The sequence below is a fragment of the Homo sapiens genome, chromosome 9 (assembly GCF_000001405.40).
Source record: "Homo sapiens chromosome 9, GRCh38.p14 Primary Assembly".
Lineage (NCBI taxonomy): Eukaryota > Metazoa > Chordata > Mammalia > Primates > Hominidae > Homo > Homo sapiens.
The window spans coordinates 3,995,430-4,018,770 of NC_000009.12; the positions used below are offsets into that span (position 1 = coordinate 3,995,430).

The following is a 23,341-nucleotide window of genomic DNA, read 5'->3' on the forward strand; positions in this document are numbered from 1 at the left end:
AACTACTACCGTGAATAATAGCAGAAACAGCCAGTAGAAAACACAGTGTAGAAAATAACTGAAAAGATGATCAGCTATGTGTAAGTATGGAAATATCAGATATATAAGTATAAATAAATTTTTTTAAAAAAGAAAAATGAATGCATAACAAAGAAACAAGAGGCTGTGAAAATTGACCAAGAAGTTTTAAAAAATAAAATCTACTTCTAAAAATTAAAAATGTAATTATTTAAAAAAAGCTTCACTTATGAATTAAACAGTGGAGAAGACACAGCTAAAGAGAGACTTAGCGACTTTGAAAATGGTTGTGTATAAATTAAGTGGAATGCAGCAAAGAGACAAAGTGAGAAAAAAATATGAAGGACAGTTTAAAAGGCACAGAAGGTAGATATAAAACACATAATAGCCTGCTAAATCAGAGTTCCAGGAGGTGATAATACAGTGATGGAGGAATGGCAACATTTTGAAAAAGAATGAATAAGAACTTTCCTGAATTCAAAAAGACACAATAATTTTAGGTTTTAGGAATCTTAATAAATTCTAAGCAAGACTAATAAAAACAAGTTCACTGTAGCAAAAAAAAAGATAAAAGGGTGACCTTAAATGCAGCCTAAAAGAAAAGTCAGATTACTTAAAAAAATAATGACAATTACACTCAACAGCAACATCAGGAGGAATCATATCTTCAAAATGCTGTGAGAAGTAACTGTCTATCAAAATTGCATGCAATTTACACATACCTTTCAAGAGCAAGAATGAAATAAAAATGCTTTCAGAAAAATAAAAACTGACAGATCCTCACTAAAGGAACTTCTAAAAGATGTCCTTCAGAAAAAAGAAAAAATATCTCAGAAGTAAGTTCAGATATAAAACAAAGAACAGAGACCAGAGAAAACAGAAAAATATGGGCAAGTCAAATATTCACCATGAAAATAATAACACTAAGGTTTAATTTGTGAGATCAAAATAGATAGATAGATTCTGGAGGATGGGGTGACATTCTGGTGTGGTGTGAATTGAGTTAAAGTGTTGTTTGGGATAAAGGTAAAGATACTGATTAACTTTACTTTCTGTTACATTAAAAGTGCATGTTGAAATGTCAAAACTTGTAGGATGCAGCTAAAGCAGTTTTTCAAAGGAAATTCATAACCTGATATGGTTATGGTAGCAAATAAAAAATTGTTTACTTAGGAGTTAGGAAAAAAACTGCAAAACTAACCTGAAATAGTAGAAGGAAGAAATAACAAAGATAAGAAAATAAATTAACAAAACTGAAAACAAAGACCCAACATAGAGAATGAATGAAGTCCAACATTGGTTTTTTTAGAAGAATAATAAAGTTAACAAATTGCTGCCTAGGCTAATAAAGAAAAAGAAAGATGACATGTGTTAATAATAATAGGAATGAAAGGGTGATATAATTTCAGATGCAGCAGAGATTAAAAAGGTAAATAAATGTATGTCAATAAATTTGTAAACTGAGATGACAAATGATAAGTGTCTAGAATAATACAAATTACCATAGAACGCTTAAGGAGAAAAAATACATCTTAAATAATACCATAATCACTAAAACTATTGAATCCGAAATTTAAAATCTTCCTACATGGCCTAGACACCTTAAAAATTGAGTTGCGGCCGGGCGCGGTGGCTCACGCCTGTAATCCCAGCACTTTGGGAGGCCAAGGCAGGCAGATCACCTGAGGTTGGAGTTCAAGACCAGCCTGACCAACATGGAAAAACCCCGTCTCTACTAAAAATACAAAATTAGCTGGGCGTGGTGGTGCATGCCTGTAATCCCAGCTACTCGGGAGGCTGAGGCCGGAGAATCGCTTGAACTCAGGAGGCGGAGGTTGAGGTAAGCCGAGATCGCTGCATTGCACCCCAGCCTGGGCAAGAAGAGTGAAACTCGAAATTCCGTCTCAAGAAAACAATAAAAATAAAAATAAAATAAAATAAAATAAAATAAAAGTTGAGTTGTAACATTCAATAAACAGAAAAGCTCTAATTTACATAAAATCTATCAGAAAATAGAAATGGGACAAGAAATGAACATTTTATGCGATCCTCACTCATGACTATACTGCCAAAATCTTAAGAAAAATATGGGCAAATTAACTCATTCAATATATATGTTAAAAATATATACATCATGACCAAGTTGAACGTTTTTCTAGGAAAGTAAGATTCATTGATCATGCCACTGAGAAATCAAGGAGAAAATCATATGACTATCTCTGCAGGAATAAAAAAAAATAGCAAACTAAGCATAAAGGAACTTGTTAACCTGTTAAAAATATGTAGCAAACATCAAACTTAGTGGGGAAATATTTCTCTAAATGTCTTTAAAGGAAATAGGAATAAGAAAAAGAGTTATGCTATGAGCATTTCTATTCAGCATCACCTTGGAAGTTCTAGTTTATACAATAAGATAAAGAAAAGAAATAAAATATATCAGGATTAGAAAAAAAAGCCATAAAAATAAATGCATATAGATTATATAATCTTATACATAAAACCCCTACAGAAAATGCAAATTATCAGAATTAAGAGTTTGAAGAAGCTTCATTCATTTCTTTTTTATCATTATGTGATAATCCATTATTGTCACTGTTCTTTTTGGTGCTTAAATTGCCTTACATGACTGTGGAAATCCCTTTAGGCCAGCTCAAGCATCTCTATGACATGATTCCCATTACTCTTTGAGCATCTCCTTGCTTTCTGCTCCAAAAAGATGATCTAGACTCATCTTAGTCTTTCCCTAATCCAGATCTGGAAGTAGCCATTTGTATAAAAAGTACTGTTTCCTTTGGGTAGAAAACGGTACTTAGAAATCAAGACATTAGTGCTGAATGTGTATATTGTTAATGAGGTGTCATTCTCCAGACGCCTTCAATGCACAGAGCTAGGAAATATATTATCTGAAATCACCAATTCATTTAATAGAGTCAATTCAAATATATCACAGAGTTTTTCTTACCTTTATATTTACACCTCTTTTATAGTAAAAATTGTGGTTTAGAATTACAATAATGTACTTACCTACTATATACTACTGTATTTATTTTTAATAATTACAATATAAATACTAACACTAACAATAAACCTAGTAAGTAGAGTTTAAGATTTCTTTGCAGATTTTTTGTCCTTAAAATTTGTCCCACAAAAATATATATTCAGAGCACTATGCTTAAAAATAGTGTGAATTAATTAATTGCTCTGTGGCTATGTAATCTATTTGATATACAGTTAGAATTCTTTTCTTTCTGTTTCCATTCAGTTTTAAGGTTTACTACTTTTTATCCTTTATGGTTTTAATTTTATGTTTATTAAAAATAATATTAAATATTAATAATATTTTAATAAAATAATATTTTATTAAAATATATTGGTTCAAAAGTCGAAACTATTTAAGTAGGTATTCTCCAATCATTATCACTTTCAATACAATTACCACTGACACCATCTAGTCAACCTTTTTATTACCTTCTGGCTTATCTATCCTGTACTTCTTTTTGCAAAATTAAGCAAATAAATACCAAGACATAAGCACATGCATACATAAAGTTACTTCCCTTTCTTTCTATAAAAAAAGGTGGTATAAAATACATACTCTTTTGTACCTTGCTTATTTCCATTTAACAATTATCCTAGATATCGCACCACATCAGCTTATAGAAATATTCCTCATAATTTTACAGCTTCATAGTATTCAACTGTATGGCTATGCCATGGTAATTGAACCAATCTCTATAGTCGCAGATTTGAGTTTTCAATATGTTGCTGTTACAAAGACTACTACAACAAATAACTGATAGTGCTGTTGTTTCATATTTGTAGAGGTGTTTCATCAAGGTAAACCTTTAAAAGTGAAATTGTTAGCTGGAAAGATACAGATTTGCATGCAATTTCCCTCCATGGAAGTTTTAATCATTTTGCATTCTCACCAGCAATGAGTCTGAATGCTTGTTTTTCCAGATTCTCCAAGAGTGCTTTTTTAAAAGAAAGGTTGCATTTCTATGCACCAGCAATGAAGAGTTTAATATTTAATTTTTAAAAGTTACCATGTATAAAACAATAATGAAAATTTATAATATACCATGGGGGGAAATACTAACAAAAATTGTATGAGATTTTTAAATAATAAATGTATAAATGTTCATTGAAAGACATTAACAAAGATAATAATTAAGAGACAAAGCATATTCATGGACAGCATATTCAACAGGAAAAGTCACTATTGTAAACATGTTAATGATTCTATAATTGATCTACATATTTAATAAATTCTAACCAAAATCTTAACAGGATTTTTCAAGGACCTTAATGAGCTTATCCTGAAATGAATATGGAAGAATTAACAGCTAAGAACAGCCAAGTCAGGTTTAAAGAAGAACAGAGCTGGGGGACTTGCCCCATCAAATAATAAAACATAGTAATTACGCAATGCAACATTTAAGTGTGGGGATAGAAAAATAGAGAAATGGAAAAGAATAGGGGTCCCATAAACAGAACCATTAATATACGAAAAAGGTATAAAAGGGTGATTTCTCTCCAAGGGAAACTCTCGTACATATGCTTCCAGTAAACAAGTATAGAAGTGATCAGAACAATGTTACTCAGAATAAGAAAAAGCTTGAAAAAATCCAAATATCCATGATGGTTAAATGAATAATAAAATTTGGTATAATTACTTGACAAATATTCCAAAGCTGTAAAAAATCAATGATCCATACGTAGATTCACACATCAACATGGATAACTCTTGAAAACAATGCTGAGTGATGAAAGGAAATCACAGAAGAAATATATTTAGTAGGATCCTATTATATACACTTCAAAAGCAGGCAAAACCAAACAATGTATTTTTAAGGATGCCTATATGTGTGGTAAAACTTTAAGGAAAAGCAAGAAAATTCTTAATACAAAATGAAAATTAAAGTAGTAATGTCTTCTAAGGAGAGGAGGGAGAGGAAAGAGACACAGAGATTCTAACAGATCAAGAATCATCTGTCTCTGAAATTGGATGTTGGATTCATCAGTGTTATTTTATTTATTATTCTTACTTAAAAAATATATGTTATATTCACTCTGGTAGGTAAAATACATTTATCTACCAGAGGGTAGAAAATATCTACACCCAAAGCTCGTTTAAAGAAAAAGAAAAGGTTATTTTCTTAGTCCTCTGCCTAAAAGCTTCTAGTGGCCCCCTGCTGCTTACAGGACAAAATCTAACTTCCAGCAAGGCAAACTAGAATCTTCCCCATCAGCCCTCCAGTTACCTTTGCAGCTTCCTCCCTGCCGCTCACCTGCATTCTAGTGACACACTGAATTATCAGATGCCCAAGCCCATAGCTGAGCTATGTACCTGCAGCTTCCTCTGCCAGGCATGTGCTCCTCCTGTCTCAATCTGGCCAGTTCCTACACTTCCAAAATCAGCAAAATGCCAGCTCCTCAGTGGAGTCTTCCCTGATTATTCTGATGGTCACTCTCTCCTCTGTACTTTCACAAAGCTATATGCCAATTTTTCTATTTATATTGTCTCCCCTCCTTTGCCTGTGAGATTTTTGTAGCCAGGAGCTGTGTTTTCAGCTCAGTTAAACCAACATTTCCCGTGTGTTAATTTTATGTCATGCACTGTGCCAGGCACTAAATTTACCACGAGTAAGCCCTACTTCCTACCCTCAAACAGCTTGCAATCTAGTCATAGTCATGTCAGTGTTCTTCATGCTTATTACAATCCCTGGCATGTTACATATACTTAAATTATATCTGACGAATAAATGAACAAATTAAGAGAGAAAGAATAATTACCAGTTTCTTATTCAAAAAAAATCTTTTGGCAATGAATCATGCTTTCAATGGCTTTTATCCATTATTTTTTAAGGCTATAAATTGTATATGCCTGTCAAAGACTAAAGTTTACCTAAGGAAAAAGCACCAAATGTTTATCTTAATGGGTGTATTTTAATTATTCTCATAGAATTTCCAGAGACAAATAAATTTAGGCAACCAATTAAAATTCAGGTTCATTATACCACACAATATCAAACAATAACACAAGACAAGTTGTATTAATGGAAAATGTTAATGAAAGTATTCCTTTTTGGTCTCTCCCACGTAAAGCTGTGTTTGTAAACGTGTTTACTTACTGTTCATTTTCTTTAAAAGGAAAAAAATTCCCAAGGAAGATTTCAAATTAAGCCTTCTCTTAAAATTTTTAATTTCTAAGTAGCTTCAGGCATCTAAGTAAGCAGTCAGTCATCATATCTGCCATTTATGAATATGACATGCCAAGGAATACTTTCAATGATGCATTTTGCAGATACCAGCTTTCAATAAACCAAATACAGGACAGCAAGTAATGATCATCTGTACAATGTGGTTATGCCATCTGGATACATCTTCATTGTTCCCAAACTGGTCTCTATCCTTTGGTGGGACAAATGTATTAATACTAGCATTCTCCCATATACATCTTATTCTGGCCTGCCTGGGTGGTTCTCACTAGTCCCACTGTGATACTATAAACAGTGGCCCCTCTAATAACGTCCACTTCCTATGCCCAGACTCTGTGGATATGTTGCATTACATGGTAAAAAGTACGTGGCAGCTGTGATTAAATTAAGGATTTCTGATATGGACAGATTATCATTATCCCAGATTATTTGGGTGAGCCCAATTCAACCACAAGGGTCTTTATAAGACAAAGATAGGAAGATCATTGAGTAGTAGGAGATGTGACAATGGAAGCAAGAGGTTGGAGTGACATGAGTAAGAGGTCACAAGCCAAGGAATGCAGGCGGCCTCTAGAAGCTGAAAAAGTCAAGGAAACAGATTCTTCCTTCAGAGCCTCCAGAAGGAACCTTCTGACTTTCATCCAGTAAGTCCAGTAAAATTCATTTCCGACTCCTGATCTCCAGATATGTTAAGACAATAAATTTGTGTTATTTGAAGCCACTAAATGTGTGATAATTTGTTACAGCAGCAATAGAAAACTAATTCACCTACTGAGTAGGCTTTACCCCTGCTTGCATTATCTTGCTCCAGCATTGTTCTAGGCCCTACATAATACTCAGTTCTCTCATATTTGAAACTATCTTCATGCCTCATTGGTAATCCTTTATACTCTGATTTGTATTAACCTGATACTTGTTTTTCACCTGTGACAGAGGCTATTGATTGGTCACCTAAAGTCATTCCCCACTCATTCTGTCTTGCTGCCTCATTCTGCAGTGGCTGGAAAGGCAAACACTTTCCAATCCCTCCTAGCAACTGGGGATGGCAATATAACCCAGTTCTGGAAACATGAGGCATACATGGATGTCTGCTGGGAGAAAGAAAATGTCTGAGGAAAACTTTTGTTTCCCTGGTGAAAAGGGAAGTTATCACCGATGTTACCATTTCTCTGTCTTCCTGCTTTAAATATGAGCGTGATGGTTAGAACTGCAATAGCTGTCACAACCATGAGGCAAAGGTCAAGAGATCCACAACGACATGGCTCTGATACTGCTAAGTCACTGAGCTAAAGCCATAGTTGCATACTTCTGGAAACATCCGGTTTTGTGAGAACAATATTTGTTTAATCCACTGTAGTATGGTTTGGTGTTACCTGAAGCTGCAAGTATTTCTAATTTAATATACTACTTTTCAAAAGTTTTATATATAGGCTGAGCACAGTGGCTCATGCCTGTAATCCCAGTACTTTAGGAGGCTGAGGCAGGAGGATCACTTGGGCCCAGGAGTCTGAGACCAGCCTGGGCAACATAGCAAGATCCCATCTCTGTTTTAAAAATTTAACATACTATCTTTCTCTGGTAGCCCCCATTATACCACAAGAAACTGGACCACTGAGGCTTAAGAAAGTATATAACAGAATTCTCCATAGCACAGTTATAAACATTGCTATATATATTTTAAAAAGAGAAAGAGGACAGAGATAGAGGTAGGAGACAGAATAGGGAGAGAAGGAAGGAAGGAATTTAAACCTGAACTTGAGTCCCTCTTACCAAACGACAAATTGAAAAAGAAATGCTTAAGAATAGAGTGGCATCCCCCTTAATTGTCTCAATCTTATAGAATTGCATGCTATAAATACACACTGAAGAACCGTGATGAGAATCAGGTTGACAGTTCCAAGCTTCCAACGATTCCTTCTAACATCTTGCTCAATGTTTTGAGTGTCTCTAAGTCTCTCCATCACCATTCTGCACATTTGAATACCAAAGTAGCTCAAAGAATTGCTAAAAGAAGCTTCATTCACTGGTTCCAAATAAGGTGCTCCAGGGAGCTGGAGAATCCACATAATAAAGTTCCCAGGACAGTCATCTGGATGATGGTGAGCTGTCTCATGGAAATAAGTGTCAATGAAGACAGACGCTTACTCTTGCAACTTTCTAAAATTCTTTCTTTGGTGCTTGTATCATGGATTACCCTATGAGATTTGAGATTTGTTAAATTTATTTGGTAAATCTTTCGTGGTTAAGGCAGAGATCTTAAAAGGGCTTTTTCATTAGTACATTCCACTTACGATGACTATTATTATGATGCCCCAGTGCACCAAAACATTCAGAAGCTGAAATAAACAACCTGTATCAACTACTTACTCCATGTCAGGTAAAGTGTTAGAAACTGGGGCAAAGGGAAACCACAGTTCTTGTCCTTGTGAATTTCAGATTCTTATTCAAGTAACAGACATGAACAAATAAATATGATATGTTAAAGGTTACGAAAAGGGAATTGCAAGTTCTTTTGGAGGAACAAGGGAATGAATTAAAAATATGAGGAAAACAACTCCTTTTTATCAGTTGACTGATTGATGACCAGACCAAGGGAGGTAAACAAGAAAAAGACTCCTTGATATTTGGTAGGTCAATAGAGAAGGACCGTTCTCAGTAAAGAAAATAACAGATTGGATGGAAGTGATGGGGCCAGGGAAGGAGTTTAATACATGAATCACCTAAATCCCTCTACAAATACCAAAAAAATGTTTTTGATGATGAGGCTGGGGAACGAGTTAACAGCTAGTAGCAAAGTCATCCAAAAGGTGATGGGATGAAAGGAGGATCCAGCCAGATACTGTTGTGTGAAATCACCTCAAACAGTTGGCAAGCAACTGGGAATGTTGATCTACAAGAAAAAAGAAAAGGGCAATTTGGAGAAGTTTGGCATCACTGAGCATCTCTATGGCATATCCAGGGCCAGGCCACTGAGCAGCTCTCTTGGTTTAGGGGATACAATGGAAATGGGGGTACTGCTTATTAGCCCTAAAGTTTCATAGAACACTGAAACAGATGGAGACTAACATTTACTGAGAAGATATACTGTGTGGTCCTTACAGAAGTTAACCTATTTAATCCTTTCAACGACCCTGTGAGATACTTAATAGTGATCTCAATTTAGTAAACTTTAGAATATGGACTTTTAAATATACTTATATTTGAGTCTTGGCTCTATTATATATTGTTTCAACAATGGCATACATTTAAAATGTAATTGAATAAAGAAGTAACCTTCCCAATGAAGCATAGCGAAGCCAAAGTAGGATTAAATTCTACAGCTCCTCAATTCACAGGCAGGAATCTAGGCCCCTGAATCCTGATGCCCCCAGTGGTGAATTCTCCATTCTGTTCTGAACTGTCATCAAAAACATTCAAACTACAGCTCCCACTTTCCCACATTTGTGTCATTTCTGCATTTGGTATTCTTTGAGGCACCCAAAATGTCTTGAAATAACTGTTGTAAGAGAGTAAATTGGTGTTTTCTGTTTTGGAAGGTGGAATAGGGCAGGCAATTTGGCAATGCTTATCAAAATTTGAAATGTGCATACTCTTTGTCTAACAATCCCACTGTTATAAACTTAACCTGTTGTTAGACAATAAGAGTATGTCCTGCCATTCATTCATTCATGTGTGCATGGATGCATATACATAGATATGTTTATATACATACATCATGCACACATCCATAGATACATGTATATTCATACTCACAGGGGGCTAATAGGAGGCAGAGTAGCACATAGCTAAGAACATGGCCCTAGGAGCTAAACTGCATGAGTTCAAATTCTGATTCTACCACTTTCTAATTGTGACCTTTGGCCTACTGGACCTCTAGTCTCAGTTTGATCATCAATAAAGTGGGGATAAGAATAGCACCTACTGCATAGGTTTGTTGAAAGGACCAAATTAATTGTACGTGTAAAGGACTTGGGCCAGCCGCTATTAAGTATTATACACATGCTAGCTGTTGTCATGAATATCAAACATTGTAATAGCAAAAGAATCTGAAAATAACCTAAACATCTGCCAACAGAATGAATTCATGATGGTATATCCATATAAAAGAAAATGATAATGCCATCAAAGATACTTAAATTATCTACATGAGTGGCTTGCCCAGAAGAGAATGAAAAAACATTTGTTAGGCAAATAATTCTATTCTGGGGTTCTCTGGAGATTTCCTTCCCTTCAGTTGTCTGTTAGTCATTTGCTGAATTACTACAGTACTACTGTAGTCTGAAGTGGTTCAGCATAGACAGAAATGTGAGTGTATTTGCCATGTGGACATAACATCTTTACAGACCCACACAGGCCCTTCCTTACCTGCTGTTTCACTCTGAAATTCATAGCTATTATGGGAAGGAAACACGCAAACCACCTTCCTCTCTCCTCTGCTTTCAATGGACTTTCCACAAAAGCTGCCAAAATAATTTGGGAGAATGCATGTTTTCCTGCCTGGATCTCTAATGTTAGGCCCTTTGCTGTAAACTCTCTTTTTCACGCTCCTTGCCTTGCCTGACAGGTAAACAGCATGAGAGCTCCTTTTACAGATTATTCTGAGCACTGCTTTTAACTAACGTTACTCATATGTCTCAAAAAAAAAAAAAAAAAAAAAAAAACTAGAGTATTTCTAAATCGCAAACAACCATACATATGAAATTTTTAAAAAATAGAGTAAATGGGTAAACTAGTCAAGAATATAATTTAGCTGCAGGCCAGATGATAAAAACATGCCATTATTTAATTGAAGTCGTGCCCCGAGCACATCACTGAGTTGAGGAACACTTGAGGACCTAGGATGGTTTGCTGGTGAGGGGTGCAGGAAGGACAGGGAATGCAGGTATGTTCCTTGACGACCAAACACCTAGCCCTTTATATGCATTAAGTACTCAGACCAATCTTATGAACAGAGCACTGTCATCTCCATGCACTAGATGAAAACACTGAGGTTTAGGGGTCTTAAAGACTTGCCTAAGTTTATTTAACAGGAAATGGATACAGCTTAGATTTAAAATCCAAGCTGGCTTGTTCTAAAACTACCCTGCTCTTTCTTCTAAAGACCAATATGTACAGCTAAGAGTTTATTATTAGATTTCCGTAATGGTAAAAGCTAAATGTAAGGATGAAGGAACGGTTCTATCAAAAACTCCTACGGTGCTGCTGTACTCAGCAATGCTACAAGGTGACAGATGTTTCATAAAGTCCTGGATGCAAGCTGTCTAGGGAAGAAGCAAAGATTACAGCCAAGGCACAATGTCATTGAGGTATTTTGCTGTTGGCCAAAATGAAGTGATGATATATTGGTGATCTAAGCATTACTGAGACTGACACGGAAATTCTTGTTTACAAGGAATAAGCCTGGAGACCAAGAATTCAACTCATCTTTCTAGAAGAAAAGACTAATAGGAGAGAAGCCCAGGATACCCACTGCACATCCAAACACCCAACAGGGTCACAGTGCTTGGTTCAGCCGTGCTTGAGCCTGCTTGGTGCTGCCCAGCCTCAGAAGCCCCTAAAATAGGGGGGACATCAGGATTAGGAAAAGTAGCAAAAAGCCCTGGCTGCCTTCCTTCTGATTGGACAGTAGAGATCTGAGCTTTTACCCCATCTTTCTCTGCCCCCACACCTCAGGCTGAAGAGGGAAATGAAGTCCAAAGCTCTCTTTATCCCTCTCCCTCTTCCTGGTTCAAGGTCCCCTTCCTTACCCTGGTACCAGATACATCCCTCTTTCTGAATGTCTTCCTCTCCATTTTCTGCCACAGGGAAGAGATGTATCAATCTTTGCTAAAATGTCAGCTAAAAAAGAAATATGGTACTAACCATCTCAGGGATAGCTGGAATTTCAATGGGGATTCATCAACAATTTAAGAAAAAAGCCTAAAGACACCAAAATAATCCACATCTGATGGTAGAATTTCAGATACTCTGAAAAAGAAACTGATGAAATATACCAATTTTTGTAGGCACACATGGGCACACATACACACATAAGAAATACATAAAGGAAAGATCACACACACAAATGTAATTACAAAAGAAAGTGTATCTGGAGCACATAAATCAAGAAGTACATATGTGCTCTCTTGCTTTGGAAGGATCAGGACTTGGGTAGCAATCACAGACATTCGTAAGACTATTGCTTACCTCCAAATACCCATGGCAGGTCGGGCGGGGGTGGGTGGGCGTTGGGGGGGGGGGGTTACTCCAGTCTCTTATCACTCCAGATAGCTTGGGCCCTTGAGCCCAAAAGCCAGTCTTCTGTCAGTGTGCTTCTCTGTGTACACCAGGGTTGCATATCCACACTCCCTCTGCACCTAAGCTCCCCCTGGCCTGAAGAAAGGCCTTAATTCCACAGTTTCTTAGATTCTATCTAAACTTATCTAACAAATGTTCCCAGTACCTGAAATATTTGTTGACCATAAAAGGCCTGAGAGTGGCTGAGAGTGGGCTTGGCCTAGTTTTTACACAGCTCAGAGGGATGCTATAAGATCCCTGAGGTTCATTTCCACAGTCCCAGCAATACATCCTGCTTAGCTCAGAGTAGGCCCTAAAATTATATTTGTTTAGTGGCCCTGAACCGCTTGGCCATGACAAGTCTGGCATCTCAGGCAGGCTCAGAAATATCCATCAGCCCCCAGTAAGAACACTGGTCCCAGAGTGGCCAGTGCCATTTTCCCTGCCCTCATTCTGCACCAAAGTGAAGAGGAGGACAGAATGTGTTTGTTCAAAATGCTCCCAGTGTACATTCAAAATCCAGCCCCTACTAAGACCCCTAGGTAAACAAAGCAGGGCTTGCAGAATTCTGTGTAGGTGACATACCTCCAGGTGTTCCCTTATCCTTAGCTTGACATCTTTTAACAGAGGGGCAAAAGTTGATTTCTGTGGCCAGCTGGTGACTCTCAGAAGACTCTGTATTCATCTCCCCACCTAGACTGTGAGCAACTCACAAAGTACATGCCCCATGTGCTTGCTTATGTGAATTCTGTGACATAAAAAGAGCCACAGGCTGGGAATCTGGAGGCTTCTGACCCTGGTCTAAATGCCACCAATTGAACTCTAAAGCCAGTGACATTTAGAGTTGAAAGAAACTTTAGAGATGACTCTGTTCCAACATCCACCTTTTATAGGTGAGGAAATGGAGATGAGGAGAAGTGAGGTGCATAACACGGTTATGCACTTGACCCAGCAGAGTCAGAAGTAAAATTCAGGTCCCCTAACTCACAGCCTAGGGCTCTTTCCACTACAGCATGTGTTCTTCACAGGTTGGCTTTCTGCAGTGCATGAGAGAGATGCATTCCTGAACCGGAGCCACACATGCAACTCATCCACTTGACCCTCCGATATTCCTTCTCTTCTCTTACTCAAAAGAAAATGATGCATTTATAGATTAATGTCATAGAATCTAAGTTCAAACACTGAGTCAGTCTTGCTCACTTTCTCTCTCCTTCCAGAGCCGTTCCTGAACGCCATGTGCAAGAGAAAACAACAGAATGAAAATTGCTCACACGGAGCATGAGGAGGCTGCCCACCTCCCTCGCACAGCCCGTGTGCAAAGACAGCCCCTCAGCTGTGCTGCAGACACAAGGTGGTTCATGCTTATTGTTTATTGTGACAGCCGACAAGCCAGCTGGCACAGATCACTCCTCATTTCCAACAGAGACACCACCAGGACACGTGTAACAGGCGCCAGCTGCCACTCAAGAAGATGGGCGGCATCCCTGCTGGCCAGCAAGGTGCAGCCATGGCCCCGGCCCTGAGACCTGCAGCCCTCCACATAACTTCCCACCAGAGAGCAGAACTGGGACCAGTTTCGTGCTGGGGACTGGGGGAAGGAGGCAGCAGCACATTCCTGCTGGCCAGGTGGTTGGGGCCATGGTTAGAGCCAAAGGTTGTTCTAATGCTCCCCAAGACTCTGTGTTACGTTTGGCAGAAGAATGGCAGTTCCAGAAGAGCAAAGAGGAGAAACAAGAGGCAATAAGGTGCATCTGAAACAAATGTCAGGCACCACCAGAGCGGTGGGCTGAACATTCAGGGATCTGACAGCCTCAGGCACAGGAAAAGCCTCCTGCCCTCCAACCTGGGCAGGTCCACGTGGATTCACTGCACATGCAGAAGTGGTCCCTTATGCAGATAGAGGCAGGGTCTGAGGAGGGGTCTGGCCGCCCCGGTCATAGGACACAAAGGAGGCTCTCAAGTAGTAGGGGCTTTCAATAGTCCCTTCTGCTCCCAAGTTTTCCTCTGCCAAACTGCTCAGCAGAGTGTGGAGCATGGGGTCTCTACGTCAGCACTGTTGACATTTTGGGTTAAATAATTCTTCATTGTGGCGGGGGGCCAGTATCCCTGGCCTCTCCTCACTAGACTCTAATAGCACCCTCCGAGTTGTGGCAATCAAAAATATCTCCAGGGATCTCCCCCGGGGTGGGGTGAGGGCAGGGGTAACAAGATAGATAGAATAGCTGTCAATGGAGAGCCACAGGTATAGAGGTCAAGAGCACAGGCTTGGGTCCCAGATGGCTTGGACTCTTGATCCCAACTCTGCCACTTACTAGACATATAACCTTGGCCAAGTTATTCGACCTGATGTGCTTCAGCGTTTTCAGTTGCAATATGGGAAGATGATAACATCAATCACTTTACAGGACAGTTGCAAATATTAATTTATTTCCTACAGGCAAAGCCCTCAGACTGGCCCAGAGTTAGCATTCCTCTCCCCTTTAGAAGCCCAGGAATACTCCATATCTCCAAGTCCCTTACTGCAGGGCTCCAGGTTATGGTCTACCACTGAGAGGCATCTGTGTACAAATTGGAAAGCAGAAGTGAAGAAGAAGCCACAATTCCTCTCTGGTAATAGCAGGCAGGACCGTGTGAAAGAACAGACATGAAATTTGCCTCAGCTTCCAGACTTTCCCGTGAAAATCGCCTGCTTTGGTGTCATAAGTGGCTGAGATCATCTGTGGCTCTTTCCTTTGATTTCTGTAGCCTCCTAATCTTCAGAAAGCCAGATACAGTTTTCCCTGTCCCATGCTCCACCAGCCCTTCTAATAGTTCTGTAAGGCATAATTTTACTAAATCTCTTTGTGCATCAAATACCTAGAGTGGGTCCTGTGTTCTACACCAAACTCTGACGTATGAACCCATGAACCTGATGGAGGTTCCAAAGTCCTACCGTTAGGAAAATGTTCCTGGGAGTAATCACGCACTGGTATGTATGTAGATACGCATGCATGTGTATGGATGTACTTAGAGTAGAACATTTATTTTTAAAAAATTGCAAAAGAGAAAATAGGTTAAAATTGAGCTACTCAAGATGGATAGGAGCTCAGCGGGGAGTGGAGGTAGATGGACTGACCACTCACTTACATTTTATTCCCCATACTTGTAGAATCCTGAGGTTCTGAAACACCCTATTTGCAAATCCCTTTAGTAAAAGCAGAGTCCAAAATGCATGCCAGTTTTATGCATAGGAAGCGCTACAGCAGATGTTCAAATAAATAACGTGTGCGCAGAGTACAAAGAGGGTGGCAAGCAGCTGCTGAGGTGTGGCACTGGAGAATCGGGTTTGTAAGAGTCATCTGCCAGGCCCAGGGGAGAGAACAGGGTGAGTAAGAAGCAGAGTCTCTGTCCTCAAGGAGTTTGTGGTAAAATGGAAGATGAAAACAGAAGCAAATGACCAGAAGACAAAGAGAACATAGAAATGTGTTTTGTTACGAGGCACTCGGCATTCAGTGGCCTGAGTGTCTTAGGTCCTATTAGCAAGGCCTTGGGGAACAGATGTTGGACTGTGTGGTGTGCACGGTACCCTCATTGATTCACAGAGATGTACGGGCAGCCCATTCACAAAGGGTCTAGAATACAAAGCTGCCTGAGCTAAGACCTGGCAGCCCATCTACCTGCTGAATAGTGGCGAACTGCCCTGGACCTTCCGTCTCTAGTCCAGCTAACCTCACTGAATAGGAGGGAGTTGCCCTATGATCTTTATTTTCTAATTGATTTTTGGTAAATTACTTTCATCTGGCCAGTTTGCTTTGGTAGGCCAGACACCTTACTCTGACACTTCATTTTCATTTGATTCTACCCTTCCTGAAACTCTAGGTATTCATGGGAAACTGGGCATATCTGCTCTTAACATTTTTTTTTATTGTTTTGACATACCCGCCAAGAGATTGGTCTCTCTTTCCAGCACTGCTTTCAAAAGTCAGACTGCTATGGTTGAGAATTCTCATTAAAAACGATTACTTTTGGCATCAGAAGTCAGAAAGGTGACAGGGGAGGGGGAGGTATTAGAGGCACTGAGATCTTTCTTCCGTTTGCAGAAAGCCTTCCCGTAAAACAAACATCATGGGAAGAAAGAAAAAAATGTAAAACATACAACAAAACCCCTTCTAACTTTTCTATGTGCTATTCAGAGAAATTTCTTAAGTATAGGGGCTAAACCACCATCCCATTACCTCTTCATACCTACTCATTAGGCTGCAAACAATGCAAGTATGGGGCAGTGTTTTCCATAGCTCAGATGTCTCTACAGCAGGCACCAAAATGCCTGGCATGAGCAACATCAATAAATGCCTGGTGAATAAACAAACCGATGAATTTCTATTAGGTATTGGAAGAGTGTGGTTAAAAGTAGTCAATGTACATTTTGAAGAACCAATATAGAACATCTAGCAAACCAGATTCTTTTCGGTGATGGTTATATGTCTTTTTTTACCTGTATCAGGGGAAAAAAATAGACCCACACACACAAAAAAAACAGTCAATGATCATTTCTAACTTCCTTCCAATAATTTTGTAAAGGACACTGGGCACATAAACTTTTCCTTGGTGCTTTTTAGATATTCAAGCAATTTCTTGAGGACACTGTGATTCATGTTTCTGTTGGACTAGTGTGTAAAAACATTCTTCCATACATTTTTGTGAAAACCACTATGTTCTTTTATGAGCTGCCAGGAAATGTGGGGACCGGTGGACCCTAGCCACCATCTCTCTTGATCTTTGCCTTCTATTTGTTCACATCTTAGATCTTCACATATCTCTGGTTTCTTTTTTTTCTTTTTCTTTTTTTTTTTTTTTTTTTTTTTTGAGACAGTGTTTTGCTCTTATCATCCAGGCTGGAGTGCAACGGCACAATCTCAGCTCACTGCAACCTCAACCTTCTGGGTTCAAGTAATTCTCCTGCCTCGGTTTCCAGAGTAGCTGGGATTACAGGTGCCCGCCACCACGCCCAGCTAATTTTTGTATTTTAAGTAGAGACGGGGTTTTGCCATGTTGGCCAGGCTGGTCTCAAACTCCTGACCTCGTGTGATCCTCCTGCCTCAGCCTCCCAAAGTGCTGGGATTACAGGTGTCTCTGGTTTCTTATATGGAAATAGAGCAAAAATGTGGTATCCTTTGGGCATCTTCAGCTCTCTGTGACAGTGTAGCTGTTGGTGATGCCTGTAAGGAAATTTGGGTTCTCTGGTGGCCCGTGACATCCCACATCCCCAACCTCCCAAAAACCAGTGCATCCACTTCCCAGAGGAAGAGCCACTACAGACGTTAAGCAGCTTAAAGACTTACGTGACAGACTTTTAGACAGCCTATGAGCTTAAATACTGCTTCCATAGCAAACTCTCTGTCTTCCTTGTATATTTTCTTTTTTAAAGGTTTGTTGTGACTTTTATTCCCAATATCCAAGGAAGCTGTAATAATTATGTTAAGATTCAAGGTATACTTTCTTATGATATAATCAATTGTCTGTCCTTGGAGATTCATTGTTTCATTCTATATGACTGTAGCATTTAAAGAAGTTAATATGAATAAAAGACTAATCTGCATACACATCTATACATTTATAGCCTGCATACAGGGCCTAGCACAGAGCAGGACTTCACTAAGTGTTCATTTGGCTTCTCTATCAAATGTAGAACACAGGAGGGCTCAAGAGATACTATTATTGGCTTAAGTTATTCTCTGGGTAGAAAGTACTAGGCCACCTTTTCTTCACTTTTCCAGTCAGTGCTTGATCTTTCAGTGGCAAGAGGAAGTCTTGAGTTAATAGAGTCTGAGGGGCAGAACTCCTCCATGAATTAGTATTGTCACAGGCAGGCTAGGTAGGAGATAAAATCTGGATGATCCAACTGTGAAGGGACGAGGCAAAGCACATGAACATTAAGTCCAGGTAGCACTTGTCAGGAATTGAGAGAGGCTAGGCCCTTCATGTACAGTTGGGCAGGTTGTATTTCAGCACAAGAATGCTCAAATCCCAAAGACAGGGGAGTGCCTTTTACTTCTTCATGCAATGGTACCACGTGGCTCACCGTGATTCTGAGAGAGCCTTGAAAAATGAAAGGCAGACAAATTGCAGAAGAGGCTTCACATGTGGCCCAAGAATCAAGATAACCCGCATGAACTCAACATTTTCTCTCAGCCAGTAAGCTTTGATACTTGCCTTTCTGGTGGCAAAACCAATGGCTGGATTTGGCCTCAATGAAACCTACAAGGTTTCTAAAACCAGTGTGGAGAGAATGGGGCCTTGAATATGGGAGAAAAGAACTGCAGAAGGTTAAGTCACAGAATCAGAAAACTGAGAAGTGGCCTTAGAAATTGTACTGGGCTAAATGGTGTCCACCCCCTCCCTACCACTGCCAAAGTTCATGTCTACTGGGGACATCAGAATTTGACCCTATTTAGAAATAGAGTCTCTGCAGATGTAATCAGTTAAGAGGAGGTCATATTGAAGTAGGGTGGGCCCTTAATGCAAAATGAATGGTGTTTTTATAAGAAGAGGAGAGACACAAAGACATACAGAGGAAAGATGGCCATGTGAAAATGCAGGCAGAAATTGGAGTGATGTAGCTACAAGCCAAGAAATGCCAAGAATTGCCAGCAATGATTAGAAGCTAGGAAGAGGCAAGGAAAGATTTTTCCTTAGAGCCATCAATGTAAGCATGGCCCTGCCCATGAACTTGATTGAAAACTTCTAGCCTGTGAACTGAAAGAGAATAGATTTGTTTTAAGCCACCCAATTTGGGGTACTTTGTTAGGGCAGCCACAGGAAACTAGTACAGAAATCACCTCGTCCAATGCCTTCAAAGTGCAGATGTACACACTCACACCTGGAGAGACTTGAATGGCTTACCCAATGTCACAGGGCTGAATACTGGCAGAGCTAGGACAATTCAACCATTCACTCACTGGTTCTTTCATTCCTTTCGACATTCACTGAGCTCTTTCTGAGGTCACTGCGCCAGACTCTGGAAATGATTAAAGAACACTAAGACAGACCCTTCCCTTCATGGAACTTTCATTCTAAAAGAATTGATAGATAATAAACCATTATTTACACAACCAAATATTTAACTGCTAGTAAAGTGAAAGCTATAGAGAAAACATAGTGTCCAATAAGAGCACATGTGGATTTGACCTAACCTGAGGATTAGATAAAGTGTCCATGAGAAAGTGACATTTGAAAGGAAATCTGAAAGATATATTAGAATTAGCTGACCATGGCATGGAAGGCCGTGTGTGCAGGGATGTGAGGAAGGGGGTGTTTGAGGGGATAAATTGGTAGCATTAGAGAATTGCCCAGGTAAAGAGTCTAACCTTCTCCTCAATCTTCTTTCTTCTACACTGCCTTTCCTGGAAACGCATACCAAAGTAAGACAATGTCATGGTTCTTTCACAAAATGTTAATGAGATGTTACCTGTAAAATATTTACAGTCTAAAAAAGACAGAGGAAACTCTCATTTGCAGCATGCACAGAACTATGTCTACCCTAGAAATATTATAACATGCTATCTGAAAACTTTCACCTTTCATGAAGCTGAGAACACCCTCTCCCATCCTCCCATCCCAAATATGAAGTTATATCTATCTTGTCTACAAAAGAAGTTCAACAACAATAATAGGGATTTTCCAGCCAAGTGTGGTGGCTCACGCCCGTAATCCCAGCACTTTGGGAGGCTGTGGCAGGTGGATCACCTGAGGTCAGGAGTCTGAGACCAGCCTGGCCAACAAGGTGAAACCCCATCTCTACTAAAAATACAAAGTATTAGTCGAGAGTGGTGGCGGGCGCCTGTAATCCCAGCTACTTGGGAGGCTGAGGCAGGAGAACTGCTTGAACCCAGAAGGCGGAGGTTGCAGTGAGCTGAGATCACGCCATTGCACTTTAGCCTGAGTGACAGAGCGAGACTCTGTCTCAAAAAAAAAAAAAAAAAAAAAAAAGATTTTCCTCCACAACAACCGTCATAACCAACCTGGCCGTCATAAATAGGAATTTGGTAAATACTGTATAGCTAATAAATTGTCTCAATTATACATGCCTGTGGAATTCAAAGGTTGTTTGTGGAAGGCTATTAAGCGTATAGTACTATTACAACTGTCCTACACACAGTATTTCTTCTCTGCATAAGTCATCAAATGGTAATCCAAAATGGGTCATGTTTTCCACTCCAAGTTCATTACATTCAAAGTAAACTGAGTGAGTGAATGACTGGCTAATCCCAAACACCCCTCACCCAGAAAGTCAATGGCCACATAGCACTGTCATCTCATAAAAAGCCTTGGACATCTGAAGCTCTATTATATGGAGTCTAACCATGAAGTCAGGAAGACTCCAAAACTACTGAAATTCCCTTTGTTTCTTAAAACGAGCTCCTGGCCAAGCTGTCTTATTTTCTTTCCATAGTGGGACCTTAAGTTTTGTGATTCCTTTACTTTCTCATTTCTATTCTACATTTAAGTAAATAAGAAGAATTATACATTTCTAAACAGAACAAAGGGACTTGATGAGCTCGACATAATACATCAATTCAGAAATGCCAATGGGGCATTTCAGAAGATTTCATGTGAGGTGACAGAGAGGTTCCCCAATGCTGAAAAACAATGCAACTCCTCTGCCTTGAGATTTCTGAGCTTGTTTGCAATAACTGCCTTTGCCCACTCATGCCATCTCATTCAGGGAAGGCTCTGATGTCTTTCCACAATTGCTCTGCTCTGATGTGGACTTGAAAACACTCCTCCACATGGATGCACTAAATCACCCAGCATTAAATGAGACATCTAAGGATTCTGCCACTCACCAAATCTGTCAGGTTTTCTCAGCTCTTTTAGGACTCCATTGTTGGGCAAAGCCACTACAATCCTATTACCAGCTGGCATATGATCAGATGATAACTAAAGTGAACACAAACACTTAAACGGCACAAGGAACTGCTGAGGTCTCACTCTTGGGTAACGCAGCCCAAGAGATTTTCTGACACCCGATCCACAAGCCGAACAATCACATTGCAAAATGCTTTCAATGTCCAGGAACAACCATTCAATCGGCCATCATGTGCCTGTCATCTGGTCCTGAGTGCTTCTGAGAAGGGCAGTTTGGCCTTTATTCTCTGCAAACCTTTCTCTTTCAGAAACCACTACATTTTTCTAGACTTCTTCCCACCACACTGCCACCCAGATATCTGCAAAGGTCAGTTCTTACTACAGACTGGCTTTGTATATGACTCTGTACGTTGGCTAGGCATTTTCTTAGGTGAAGAGAGATGCTGGTTTAGTTCTAGACAAATAACTATAATTAGTCAGAGTGGTTTAACTGTTCATTGACTAGTCTATACTCTGCAGCAGGAATAGCAAGCAGCATGTCCTTCTTCAACCAACACAAGATGTAATTTGGGTGCTGAATGCAAAAGATACAAAGTAGACAAAAGATACACTGTCCAAGAAGTTGGCAATCTGTGGAAGCTTGCGTGCACACACACACACACATGAGCGCGCGTAATACAAGGCAGTATACAAATGTCACATGAGGGATAGAAACCAGGCAAACATAAGCAACTGGAGAAGGGAGACATCTCTCTTTGAGCAGAAGTAGTCTTAGAAGTCTTCCCAGAGTAGAGATGATCAGAGAGAGGCTGTGAAAGGTGGCGAGGGTTTAGACACACAGTTAAGTTTGTGGGGATTTTCAGGAGGAGAAGAGTCACAGACAAAGATAGAACCCAGGATGCATAGCCTGGTATCAGAGTGTTGGTAGAGAAATCCAAGAATGTGCAGGGGATATACCCCTCCTAAAAATACATGCTTCCAAAGTGGTAGTTTTTCAACAATATTGAAGGACGGGCACTAAGTCTCTGATGAAAAGAATTCAGCAGAAGCTGTGTGATTGCAAAGGTCAGTCAGTTCAGTATGTAATTGGAATATGGGCAGCAGGACTGTGAGATGAATTGACCACGCTGATTGAAACTAATGTCTTTTTAATATGGCAACTTCCCTACCAGCCAAGGGGGCAGGCCTTGTCCCAAGGCCCAGCCCCTTACTGGGGAACCTACTTCTAATAAAACACAACTACATCTCAGTGCTGTGATAATCCTCATAAACACGTGCATTTTCGAATCTTGGATTGAAAGAGAGACAAAACTCTTCCGATAAAGGAATCACAATTATAAAGTCATCTGAAAAGGAAGGCAGGAAGAAAGGAAAGGAGGTAGGAAAACTGAAATCAACTTGACTGCTTGCTAGGCCTTTGTCACATCCTCACAGGAGGAGAACTGAATATAAAATGAGCAATTAGGGTGAGGTTTAGAAATAACTTCTAGGCTCTGCTTCTTTATCCTCTCTCCTTGGTTACACAGGACTGGCTCTGGCAGCCTCGGGGCAGGGATGCACATATCTGTCCCCAGAACCCACAGCTGAAAGAGAAGTCACTAAGGAAGAAAGCAAGATGAATTACTTCTCTTGCTGGTTGTTTCCCATAAACTAAAGGAACACTTGGGGTGTACTTTTCAAGTCATTGTTTATCATCTTTGGAATTAAATTAACCCTGTTAAACAGAAGAAAAGGTAAGGGGCTTCACAGGTTCTTGGCTATCACTGGGATCTTGACTGGGGTTAGTGGGTTTCAAGAAGGGAAAAGCTGCGGAGGGTGACACAGAGTAGTTTCCAAATCAAAGGAGCAATGGTTCTCAACTGCGTTCCACCTAAACTCTGAGATATGATAGTCCCTTAGGAACAGCTTTGTCAGTGATGCCCAATCCCCTGGAAGGCAGGTATACACACTTGGAAAAAGAAAGTTTCCCCAGTGATTCT

The 23,341-nt window shown here is 39.7% G+C and overlaps 1 protein-coding gene across 12 annotated transcripts in view; it reads right to left on the reverse strand.

Annotated features, from left to right (window-relative positions):
- The window catches only part of GLIS3 (GLIS family zinc finger 3), a 666,339-nt gene that overhangs the window by 171,303 nt on the left and 471,695 nt on the right, over positions 1 to 23,341 (reverse strand). The window lies entirely within an intron of this gene.